The sequence below is a fragment of the Homo sapiens genome, chromosome 13, assembly GCF_000001405.40.
Source record: "Homo sapiens chromosome 13, GRCh38.p14 Primary Assembly".
NCBI classification, from domain to species: Eukaryota; Metazoa; Chordata; class Mammalia; order Primates; family Hominidae; genus Homo; species Homo sapiens.
In genome coordinates, this window is record NC_000013.11 from 41,674,164 (window position 1) to 41,687,539 (window position 13,376).

A 13,376-nucleotide genomic window follows, 5' to 3' on the forward strand; every position below is an offset into this window, starting at 1 on the left:
ATATTTTTTTAATCTGATTAAAGGGTCCTAAGAAATGAAGCTGTGTTTCTGAGTTATTTGTGCTATCATGCCGAGCTATCTTCTTCTAGGGGTTGGAGAAGGGGGAAGAAAGGAAGCCTGGTGACATTTTGGGTGACTGACAGATTCTGTTGTCCCTGGTCTTCCTCTGCAGGCCCTCCAGGCTACTCTGCTAGAGCTTCTAGCCAAGACTTCAACCGCTGTGTTGTGAGGGCTCAGTGGCAATGTGAGGGAGTACATGAGAGGAGCAGATGTGATTGCAATATAGGTCAAAATAGAGTAGAAAGATTAGAGGAAGAAGGCTTTGGCATGGAGGGCAAAGAAAGGGAAAAAGAGGAACCTAGGATAAGTAGGCCAAAGCAGGTGCAAGCTTAGGTTGGAAGAGGGAAATAAGGCATGGATGCACCCAGAAAGGGACGGGCTCCAGGTGATGATGCCTGTGTTCTTCAAGGGACAGATCAAGCTTTATTGTTTCTGTTTTTAAATCCTCAGTTTACCTAGTTTAAATGCTTTGCTTCCATAGTGGGACAATAATGAAGGAGGTGAACAGTAATAAGTCCTATTCTAAAGCTTTGGGATCCTTTGGCTATTGTACAACCTCCCTGACTGCAGATGCATAATAACATATATCAAAACAATATTAAAGAAATCTATTTAAATTGTTTTGATATTTTGAACACATTTACTTCAGAAAATACATACACAAAGTTAATAAGTATTATAATTTTTGTAATACTAAAAATGCTATTCAGATACAGAAAAACTTATTAGAACAGATCAAACAAAAGAGAACAAAGACTTGCAGGCTGTTTGACTTATACCTATGTAACACTGGAATATTTTTACAAAATGAAAATAAAAATGCCAGGAAAACATTCAGAAGAACAGCAAGATAGAAACCAACTGTAACTGGAAAAAAAAAGAGCTTGCTATTTAAAGAAGCAAAAAAGTACTCATTTATTCAGAGTACTTAGCAAGAATTTACTCATTTTTTATGACATACTAAGCTAAGAACAAAGGTGAAATGGATTACCTGGGAATAGGGATATATCGGAGTTTCTTTGATTGAAGATCAGTGACTTCTATATAACCAGATGTTTGTGGAGGAGTAACATCTACAAACAAGTCATGACATGAGCCAAGTATTAAATTACTGCAAGATACCAAAATGGTGCTAAAAGTGGAATCAAGTTATCTGTAGCCTAGGGTAGAACGCTGGGATCTACTTGACAAGGTACTGGGTCAACCCTCATGGCTAGACTCTGAGAAATATGCTTCCCTCAGGGAAGCATATTGGGCTGTGATTCTTTACTGTCAGAAAACAACCTAAGTTATTTTCATTGTCTTTGATAGCTTCCCAAGATGAGTCAATGTTTTTGCATTTACAGTTTTTTTAAAAAATATTTCATCATCTGAACTGTTTTTCCTTCTTAGGAAGCAACAACAATGCAGTAAAATGTGGTGGAATCGGCACACTCTCTAATTAGACTGACCTGGTAGGAAGTCCTGCTCCTGTCCGAGCTGTGTTAGGTTGGTCAAGTTATTGACCTCTCTGAGGCCTGCTTTCTTCATTTGTAAAATGGGGATAACAACCCCACTGTAAAATGGGGATAACAACCTCAGATGACCACAGCATCTGAGCATCATAAGCATTATCCTGAGGATTAGATGAAATTAGTAAATGCAAAGCACCGACAGGGGTTGCTCATCACACAGTATCTGTCATTATTAGGGCCCTGCAAGACAGGGGAAGGTGAGGTGAGGATGGGGCAGTGGGGTGAGGACTCTGGAGTTTGGATCATAATCCCAAAAGACAATCCTGAATGCCATTATTCTGATTGTTGAAATCCCAAAAGATAGATAAAAGTCCCTAAAGTTTAAAATCCTGAAAATCACAATCACAGTATAATTGCATCATGTTATACGGAGCTATTACTTTGTTACTGTCTTTGTTTGGAAATTTAAGTATGGTTTAAGGAGATGCATATAGGTGCCAAGCTGACAAAGGGTGTATTTGTGGACTTAATTTTAGGTGTCAGTTGGACCGATTATGGAATACCTAGAAACCTGGTAAAGCATTATTTTGGTTGTATCTGTAATCTGGAAAAGAGATTAGTATGTGAGTCTGAGGGAACCAGGTGGTGAAGACCTGCCCTCAATATTGGTGGACATCATCCCACCAGCCAAGAGCCTAGAGGGGACAAATACAGAAGGTGAATTGGTCTCTGAGAGCTGGAACAGTCTTTTCTTCAACCGCCAAACATACTGATATGCATGTATGACATTTCCCTTTTGACCAATTGCTTTATGAATATGGCTCATGTGTTCATAACTGTTATACTCATGTGATGTCATTAGTGTACCTGAGTGTTTATGCTTGCAAAAAGTGTATGTTATTATTGCCTATTTTATTGTGCAAGGTGGTTTGTGAAGTGTTCTGCTGTTTTTGTTTGTTTGTTTGTTTTTTGGAGACAGAGTCTCACTCTTGTTGCCCAGGCTGGAGTGCAGTGGTGCGATCTTGGCTCACTGCAACCTCCGCCTCCTCTGTTCAAGTGGTTCTCGTGCCTCAGCCTCCCAAGTAGCTGGGATTATAGGCACCCGCCACCAAACCCAGCTAATTTTTGTATTTTTAGTAGAGACGGGGTTTCACCATGTTGGCCAGGCTGGTCTTGAACTCCTGACCCCAAGTGATCTGCCTGCCTCGGTCTCCCAAAGTGCAGGGATTACAGGTGTGAGCCACCACCCCCAGCCTGTTCTGCTGTTTTTATGTTTCTCAAAAAAAAATCTTCTTTCAAAAATGTACATAAATATCTTTTAAATAATTTTAAAATTATTTTTTCCAGAATTATATTTTCAAGATTTTCATCTTTTGGGATTGTGCCAGAATTTTAGACTTTAGGAATATTTATCTTTCTTTTGGGATTTCAACATTTGGGGTTATGGCATGGGGATTGTGTTTTTTGGGATTATGATCAGCTCTCAGGATCCTGGATAGTAAAGAATATGAAAAGTTGGGGGAAGATAAAGAGATAAGGGGTCCAGAGCCCTCAACTAATTCTATAATTGTTATACTCATGTGATGTCATTAGTATACCTCAGTGTTGGTTTTCCAGCAAATTCCTGTGCTACACTGATTTCTATTCCACAGCCCTGAGTAACCATCATCCTCAAAATCATTAGCTGCCACCATGGTGTGTCAGAAACACTGCTTAGTCTTCACAGAGAGTGCTTCTGATACTGACAACAACAAAGACTAATAATTCTTGTCTGAGAGATGAAGAAACTGAGGCTTATAGAGGTAATGTAACAATATGACTTATTTGGGGTGATACAGCTGGAGAGTGATGGAGATGGCTTCAAACCCAGGCCTCTTTAGCACTAAAATCTATGCTCTGGCCACCACTCCACACAACTTCTATGTGAGTTGGCCCTAGTGAAATAGCTATTTGTAAAATATCCCATTTTATAAAATCTTGGCCACCAAGTTCTCTTAAAAAAAACTCCCCAACACAAAACCCAAGCTTTTTAAGATTTTTGTCTGTTTCTCTATCTAATCTTTGATGACAATTTCTGATTAGAATTATATATTTATCTATTCATCCATCCATCCATCCATCCATCCATCCATCTTTTATTACAATTTCTGGTTGGAATGAAGTATCCAGGATGTCCTGGATAAATTCAAATTTGAATTTATCAAATGTAGTTTACAAAAAACAAGAAACTTGACATTTTTATTTCATGCATGTAGTTGAAGGTTTTTAAATAGGCCAGCTGAAAAACTCGACATATCTCCTATTTATTTAACAAATGTGTTTGAGCATATTTTGCGCCAGACATCATATGAAACAGCGAGGATACAGAAAAGAGATGTGGTCTCTGACTTTGAGGCATTCACAGTAAAATGAGGAAAGTTCCTTTTTATTAAACCATTGTGGGCCTCTGGGGACTTGGAAAGGATTCTAGAGTTGGAATCACAGTCCTGAGGCCAGGTATGAGCTGCAGAGCTAGGCATGGGTTGTCCCAAGAGACAAATAGCTCAGCAGGAAGAAAAGGTAATGTCCAAGGAGAGGAATGGGTAAGAAAATAGAGTTACTATAGTAATTTGACCACCCAGCTGGATTAGCTGTCTTCAAGTGGCCATTTGCACAAAATGAATATGCTTATCGTAAGCCACACACAGTCTGCATTGGAAATTCTGCCTGTGATATAAGGTCAATCTTGGATAAAGTTTTGTATCATATATCATTTTTAACAATTCCTGCTGCTCGAACCTAGCTGAAGTAGGTTGAATTATTTATAGCTCAGGGTTCTCTGCCAAGAGTGACCAGTTACTGAAGCTATAGAGATGAGTGGAGCTGCCTCGCTAACTAACTTACTCATATTTTGGCTTGCCACTTAGAGGCACTTTTACAAATAAGGAATAGTATTAAGTTGAGCTACTGCCATCAGCACTTTTAGATTGCCTGTGAAAGCAAAGTAAGCCAACTTATTTTAAAATATCTTTTTTTTCCCATATCTTTCTTTTCTTTTACTTTGCTAATTAATTCCTTGGTGAGAAAATGCAATAATGACAGTGTCTACTATTTCAAGAAGTAGAAAGCAAGAATTTTACTCCTGGTATTAAGAACTATTTTCATATATCAGAGAAGGGTAATTGTGGCTACAGATCACTTCAGGGAAATATAGTAAAGGTGGTGGTAGTGGTGGTAGTAGCAGTAAGCACTTTAAAAATAATAAAAATTGATGTTTACTGATTTGAAAATAAGTCAGCTCAGAAGAAAAGAATATTTACAAAAAGATTCTTGAACAGAATACTTGACTGAATTAAGGAAGTGAAAACTGTGGCCAGGTTTCCCTCCAAACTTAGCCAAGTCCTCATCCATCCATTTTAAACGTTTTAACACTGGAGTGAGGATGGAGGCTCAGTAAATTTCCATTACATTTATAATCCAGGTGGATTTCAAAGATAGGTATAAGTTGTATTTAGGGATTAGTTCACTAACCATTAAAGGGAAGTCATTGCAGCAGTGTTTATCACATAGCTCCCATGAATAGTGGGGACAGTTTACATGCACAGTGCCAAGGTTAGAAGGAGGTATTAAAAACTGTCAGGCAAAACAACCAAGACAATTTTCAGAGGGAAGGTGAAATGCTATTTAAAAAGTCACTCCTTCTAGAACTGTAATTTGATGTACACCTATTAATCACTGGGTTTAACACACTTCTGTGTTCACAGATAAAAAGAGTGATGTGTGCCCCCAAACTGTGCTGATACCAAATTTTTGATTTTACCCAAAGTTCAAAAAAACATTGTACTGCTTTCAATCAAGAATCATTATTTTGTGTTTAAAGAGCTCAGACCTGTGGTTTAAAAGAAGCTAGCATTTAGCTAGAAGAAAAACAGTTGGAAGAAAGCAATAAATTTCTCCCCATCTGCATTAAATAAAAGCTACCTCATTATTGTGAAAGCCACCAGGAGAGTAGTCTTTACAGTTGATTTCTTTATAAAAGGCTGATATACATTAGTTCCAGACTAATTAGATGGTTGGATTTGGTTTACTTTACAAAATTATTCTAGCTTGAATTTTCATCAGAGATCTACATGCACATAGAATTAAGTATCAAAAAGGCTTAAAGAACAAACAGCCCTGCTTTACCCCCTACCCGCCCCCGGCCGCCCCACCATTTCCTGCCCCCTAGAGACACTTTCAACTTTTTAAGCTATTTCTGTGGTATTCACCTTCATCATTATGGTGCCCTCTTGATGTTTCAGCTTCAGGTATTATCTCTTGCCTTCCTCCCAAGCAAGAAGAGAGTTTAACTCTTTTTCATTCCCCAATCCCCCACTCCCGATTTTCCCATCCCCCCAAACATTCATATAATTTTGCTTGGATTAACATCCAGTGCTTATATTATTATAATTATCTAAATGCTAATCACAGCTTTGCTATGTCTTATATTATCATTACTTTTTCCTGTATAACTTTTTGCTTTCATTGGAGCTAATAAGCATCATGTTTTGTTTGTTTAGTTTTATTTAGTACAAATTTATTCCCAAGGTTCCCTAATTGTTAAAATCTCTAAATATGTTCATATATATTGGGTTTATCAATTTCAATTTCTAAGAGACATCTCTCCTGAAATGTCATCTGTTCTAATCTTAGGCCTGTGCATGGCTGTTACCCTGGGATCTTCCTTCACCATGCTCATAGGGATTTTCATTCTTTCTCTCTTTTTTTACAGCCCACATTTATAAAATTCTTCCCCCATGCCAGACATTGTCCTAAGCACTTTATATATGTTTGGAATATTTTAGTAACACTACTTAAACAAAAGAAGGGAAATAAAACTCCTAGAACCTAAGAGAAAAATGGCTAAATAGGCAGTTCTTGGAAGAGCAAATGGCAACATATGAAAGGATGCTCAAATGTACTAAAAGTCAGAAAAAGGTAATGTGAAACCACAATAAAAGGTTTGACCCTTACAAGAGTAGATTAGGATGGGATGGACCAGGATCCCCTTTATGCTACTGGAACACCTTTGGTAATTCTGCTCCTAAATATGTTCCCTACAGACTCAACATATACACAAGCAGACTGGTGCAAGGCTATTCATAGCACCATTATTTGTAATAGCAAAAACCTGGAAAGAACCTAAATTTGCACTGACAAATAACAGATGAATAAATTGTTGTATGTGAAGCAGTGAAAATAAAAGTAGAACTATCAGTATGGATGATGACAAAGGTCTCTCTTTGACTGAACTGTAGTCAGGCTCTTCTGAATCTTCTTCCCAACTAGTTCCCAACTCCGGGGCCTCTGTGTTCATCTCTGCATTGTTCAATGCTAACAAGAATCCTGCTAAGTCAGTTTAAACAGAATCCCTAACCCTTGATATCTGATTGGGTTCCCCATTCTCCACCATCCCCCAGGTGATGTCAGATCACTCTCGGCTGCTCTCAGCAGGGATCCTGTTAGGTTTGTTCAGCCAGAATTCCCTCTTATCCTAGATGTTTTCTCTCAGTAATTTTCCATCCACTGACCCCCACCCTACTCCTTCACTTATTTCCACTTTTCCTTGTTATATTCAGAGTTGAGCCCCATCTCTTTCCCTTACTACAAAACTTCTTTGCAGTCATCCCTAGACCTATCAAGATGGCCCTGCATAAAGCCTACCTTCCCATTTTCTAACAAATGTCATGAATGATTTTTTTCTTTAGCAACAAATCTCACAAACATGATGGTGAAAAAAACAGACCAAGTTGCAGAAGAATAAATACAATATGATACTATTTACACAAAGTTTAAAAACATAAAAAAAGCTATATGTTATTTTGTGAATGATAAGTACTGAACTCACATTCAGAATAGAGATTACCTCTAGTTTGTCAAAAAGTGAAGGAGATGAGAACACAGGGGTCTCTGACCATACTGGTAATGACTTACCAATATGGGTGGTGGGTGCAAAGATGTTCTTTGTATTTTTCTTTAAACTTTTGTAGGCCTGAGATATTTTGTGAAAAATTAAAATACACATGGAAACATAAACACACTCTTCCCGTCCCCAAATAGGAAGTGTTATGAGAGAGTATGACAAGGGCACCTAATATAGATTTGAACAAGACCTTCTGAGGAAGTGACATTTAAACTGAGAACTGACAGATGAGAATGAGTTTGGGGGTTGGGGGGAAGGGGTGCAGCAGAAAGTTGGGAAGAATTTTGTAAATTCAAATTAACTGAAAGAAGTCGGAGAGTTATGTAATGGACAAACCACGCTGCATCTTTTAAGCCAAGTTAAAATTTCTAAACTTTATCCTAAGGACAATGTGACCTGAGTTGTGTTTTAAAATATTACTTTCTGACTAAAACAGTTTTGAAAATGAAGAACAAAGTGGAAGAATCTATACTACCTGGGTCAACCAAGACTCACTATAAAATATAAAGCTATAAAGCAATCAAGAGAGTACGGTATTAGTAAAGGGATAGACACATAGACCAATGGAACACAATAGAGAATCCAGAAATAGACCCACTCATGTGGGCAGCTGATTTTCAGCAGAGGTCTAAAGGCAGTGCAAAAGAGAAACGACAGGACAGTCTTTTCAGCAAATGGTGCTGGTGCTGGAACAATTGAATATCCCCATGCAATTAAAATAAAGAGCCTCAGTCCATACCTTACACCATGTAAAAAATTAACTCAAAATGGATCATAAATCTAATGTAAAATATAGAACTATAAAACTTCTAGAAGAAAACATAGAAGATTTGCCCTTCATCAAAATAAGAGAAAATGTTTGCAAAGTACATCTCTGACACTGAACTTGTATCTACACTAAAGAACACTCAAGAGTTCAGGAGTTTGAGACCAGCCTGGGCAACATGGCAAAACCCTGTCTCTACAAAAAAATACAAAAATTAGCCAGATGTGGTGGCATGTGCCTGTAGTCTCAGCTACTCAGTAGCCTGAGTTGGGTGCTGCTTGAGCCTGGGAGGCAGAGGCTACAGTGAGCTGAAATCGCATCACCACACTCCAGCTTGGGCAACAGAGCAAGACCTTGTCTCAAAACAAACAAACAAAAGGAATGCTCGAAACTCATTAATAAGAAAATAAATAACCCGATTTAAAAATGGGCAAAAGATCTGAAACATATTTTATTAAAGAAGATACACATAAAACAAAATACTCAACATCATTAGGTGCTAGGGAAAACGCAAATTAAAATCATAATGAGAAATCACTACACTCACTAGAATGGTGAGAAACTGACAATACCAAGTGCTGACAGGGATGCAGTGCAACTGAAACCTCCATTCATTGCTGATAGAAATGCAAAATGGTATTTCCACTTTGGGAAATAGTTTGGCAGTTTCATCATATGATGCAAAAATGCCATTCCTAGGCATTTACTCAAAAGAAGCAAAACCTTATGTTCACTTAAAAACCTGCCCACAAATGTTCATAGTGGCCTTACTCTTTATTGCCCAAAACTGGAAAAAACCAATAAATATGTCACCTTGTGAATGGATAAACAAACTGTGGTACATCTATATAATAGGCAACCACTTGGCAATTAAAAAAAAAAAACTAATGATACACACATAACATAAAAAATAAATAAATAAATGATTCTCAAATGCACTGTATTAATTGAAAGATGCCAGGCTTAAAAGACCACATACTGTATGATTCCATTTATATAATATTCTGGTAAAGGCAAATCTATAAGAAAAGAAATCAGGTCAGTGATAAGTTGTAGGTAAGTGCAGGCACTGACACAAAATGGAATGGGGGAAGTTTTTGGGGTGATGAAACTCTTCTATATCAAGTGTGGTAGTGGTTACCCAACTGTTTGTGTCTGCCAAACTCACAGAACTATATGCTAGAAATGGTGAATTTTACTGTATATAAACCGAGCTTAAGAACCAATGTATGCTGTACTTTAAAAACATCACCCTGTCTGATGTGTGTAAAAGAGTAGGAGGGGAAAAGAGTGGAAGAGGTAACAATATCAGAAGGCTATGGCAACATTTCAGTGTACGATGGTGGTGCTTTGGATGGGATATTGGTAACAGAATTGGAGACTAGTGGGTGGATACAAGATATATTTGCAAGGCTGTATATCAGGACATGGTGATTGATGATGGATGAAATGTGGAGGATGAGGGAGAAGAGGTATCAAGGTGAGTCCCAGATTTCTGGGTGAATGCAGGTGCACTAAACTCTGGTACATAACTTCTTGTAATTCCTGGAATGCTCTGCCAAGTCCTTGCATCTTTCACATGGAGTACCCCTTTCCTGGACCAAATCCTTCAACTGATTAACTCTCATCTTTCAAGAGTCAACTCATAGTCTCCAGAATGGATTGTAAACTTCTACTTTGTGTTTATATATCACCTTGTGAATATTCCTATCTTATTATACTGTACTAGAATTGTCAGTTTATTCATCTGCCTCTTCTACCACAAAAAAAATTTTAAGGAAATGGTGATTTATTTTCCATGAGTTTCAGCTGGGAAGAAACTAATTCCAAATGTTATCATATAATCAGAACTTTTCAAACCCTGTTACAGATTATTATAATACATTTAGCATTATATTTGTGAAGTCCACACTAATACAATGCATATAGACACAAGATAATATATCACTACCACTGTGACATAAAAAAAAAAAGTCAATTAATCAATGATCAAACTTTTTCATAGTTATCTGTTATGATGAATGCCAGTGTGGTTCAATAAGAATAGATCTAAACTTGGGATTAGAAGATTGTGGTGCAAATCTGGGCACTGTTGTCCACTGGTGGGGTGATCCTGGGCCAGTTATTTTAGTTCTGTGTCAGAATATCTTCATGTATAAATTAGAGAGCATGCTAACAATAGGATGGGGTTTTAAGGAGTAAGTGAATTTATACAAGGAAAGGAGATCATCCCAGGAATTGGATATTTTATGCAGTAATAAATATAAGTTGACTTTCAGAGTGCTGTTAAGTGAATCAGTCTGCACGATAAGCCCCTGACTTTCAGTCTTAGGAGTTTAAGACAAAAGGCAGGCCTCAGTTTCTATGCCTAATATACTAAGACTTTTTAAAAGGCTCTGTGAAAACATCTTTTAGGTAAAGTTACTGCATATATTATAATATAAATGAAGATGAGCTCTAACAGCAGTGGCCACAACCACACACTGTGAAAATGAGTAAGAACTTTCTGAATACGGAGAGGTCTTTTTAGTTACTTCTAAACTTGTCGGAATGATCAATTTTTATAAGTATGAAATGATAAAGATAAATTAAATATCCTCTACCAAAAGGAAGCTACTTTAAACCACCTTTGTAAATTAGGAATTGGTGAGTTCCTTCTTACCTTTTGGGTAGATATCTTTTAGAGGGACTTCTCCTGGGGGTAAAATCCTCACTACCTGATTCGTATCTAAAAGAGTCACACAATTGCTTTGTTTTGGAGTCCCCCTTTTCTTCTTTCCTCTATAGAATGATGTATCAGTGCCACTTCGTTTATGCAAAGATGATGGTCTCTTCCAAGAATAAACTTCACTGGGTGACTGAAAAAAAGAAAGAGATTAAAGTACTGAAGTACCATATACTACATTCACCACAACCTTAACAACGCAGCCCTTTAAGCAGATACTAGTGGGAAACTAATGTTTCACAGGTATAAGAAAATCAAATTATTGGCTGGGTACAGTGGCTCATGCCTGTAATCCCAGTACTTTGGGAGGCCAAGGTTGGTGGATCACTTGAGTTCAGGAGTTTGAGACTGGCCTGGGCAACATAGTGAAACCCCGTCCCTATAAAAAATACAAAAATCAGCCAGACATCGTGGCACATGTCTGTATTCCCAGCTACTGAGGAGATCTTGTCTTAAACAAACAAAAAATAAATAAAGTCATTTGGATGTGGTACAGGAAGGAGGTAGCTGCTTTGTCAATAATCATAATTTTCAGACAAGTGTAAAATATACAAGTTAAATTTTTTACCTTGAAATCAATTACAACTAAACAGAAGAAATATAGGAATTAGTTAAAAAATAAAGTAAACATCTATACATAATAGAACATAACTAGCATTTTTAAAGCCCTGGGAGGGCTTCAAAAGTGATTGGGCCCCTTCCCAGTCATTCTCTCTCTCCCCTAGATTTAACTCTTCTGGAATTTTGTGTTATTTTTCCCTTGCTTTACTTTAAATTTTTACCACGTATGTATTTATCCTTCCTAAGATCATAAAGATAATTTCTTATGCTTTTTCTAAAAGTTTTAAGGCTTTATCTTTCATAGTGAAGTCCTTAGCCTATCAGGAATTAATTTTTGTGAATGGTATGAAGTGGGGATCTGCATTCATCCTTTTCTCACATGTATAGTTTATTGTCCAAATACCACTAACTTTTGCCCATAGCAACAGTATCATAAAACACAGTTTATATGCAGGTATCTGTTTCTGGGCACTGCATTTTGTTCTATGGTGCATTTTTCTATTCCCAGGCCAATACATGGTCTTAGTTACTGAAGTTTTATAATTATCCTTGAAATTTAATAGGAAGAGTACTTCTGTCTGGTCCTTCTTCAGAGATGTTCTGGTTATTGTTTGCCCTTGCAATAATGAGTTGCATTAGCTCTCTGCGTCCTTATCAGTACTTGGTATTGTCAGTGTTTTTTTTATTTTAGCCATTCTAACGGGTAGGTACTAGTATCTCATCATGGTTTTAATTTGCATTTCTCTAATGACTAATGATGTCCAATAACTTTTCATGTACTTATTTGCCATCCCTCTATCCTCTTTGGTTAAGTGTTTGTTCAAGTCTTTTGCTCATTTTTTTTTTCACATTTACCTTTAATTTTACTTCTATATCTACCTAAATACATTGAAATCTATGAGTTCACAAAAATATATCCAATTCCAATCTAATAACTACATGGTTCATTCTAGTTTTCTTCCTTTCAGTATCTGTAATTCCCCTCTCCAACAGTTAAAAATTTGTTTTCATTATCCTTAATGTATTTTGTTACCCTTCATATATTTACTTTCTTGCTCAAGTCCACTGTATGTGACCCATCTCCCATCTCCACCACTAACCTTACTCCCTGGGCAGATGCTCCACTCTACCTGCTTGGGTTCTGACAGCCCATAGGGGCTGCACTCACACAGGGACACATACTTCACCTTACTTGGGCTCCTACATCCCATTCCAGGCTGCCCCTTCACAGGAATGCCATCTTCATCCTGTTTGGGCTTAACGTCCATCACTAGTGGTTACCTCTCCCCACCATAGATGTCCTTACCTTGCTTGGGCTCTGATCTTTGATAACTCACACTGGCCTACTATTTGCTCATTTGTAAAATTAGGCTATTTGCCTTCTGACTGTTAAGTTTTAAGAATCTTTATAGACTCTAGATACCAGTTTTTGTTGGAAATGTGGTTTGCAAATATTTTTTCCCAGCCTGTAGATTGTCTTTTCATTCTCTTAACAGTGTCTTTTAACAGAGCTCAAATTTTAAATTTTGATGCAGCACAATTTATCAATTTTCTCTTTATATATCATGTCTAAGACACTATTACCATGTTTAATAGAATGGTAACAGTGGGCAACCTTGTTTTATTTCTAATGAGAAAAGAAAAGAAATACTTTTGATGTTTCACCATTGAGGATGATATTTGCTACAGATTCTTATAGCTATTTGGTATTAGATTTTAAAAGTTATACAAGTAATAATTTAGATGCCACTGATAACTCTATGAAAAAGTTAATAAGAGGTAGCATACTCATTTGTCAATAGTTTCATACATAATCCAAAGAAGTTCACATAAAGCAAGAAGGCAGTGTGGTGTGGTAAAAGGATGTGT

The 13,376-nt window shown here is 37.1% G+C and overlaps 1 protein-coding gene across 1 annotated transcript in view; it reads right to left on the reverse strand.

Moving 5' to 3' along the window:
- Positions 1–13,376, reverse strand: part of VWA8 (von Willebrand factor A domain containing 8) — a 394,275-nt gene that overhangs the window by 107,329 nt on the left and 273,570 nt on the right. The window contains exons 35-36 of the mRNA NM_015058.2: positions 10,884–11,079; positions 1,052–1,133 (exon numbers count right to left, since the gene is read on the reverse strand). Of these exons, the coding sequence (NP_055873.1) occupies positions 1,052–1,133; positions 10,884–11,079 (278 nt within the window). The remainder of the gene's footprint in view (positions 1–1,051; positions 1,134–10,883; positions 11,080–13,376) is intronic.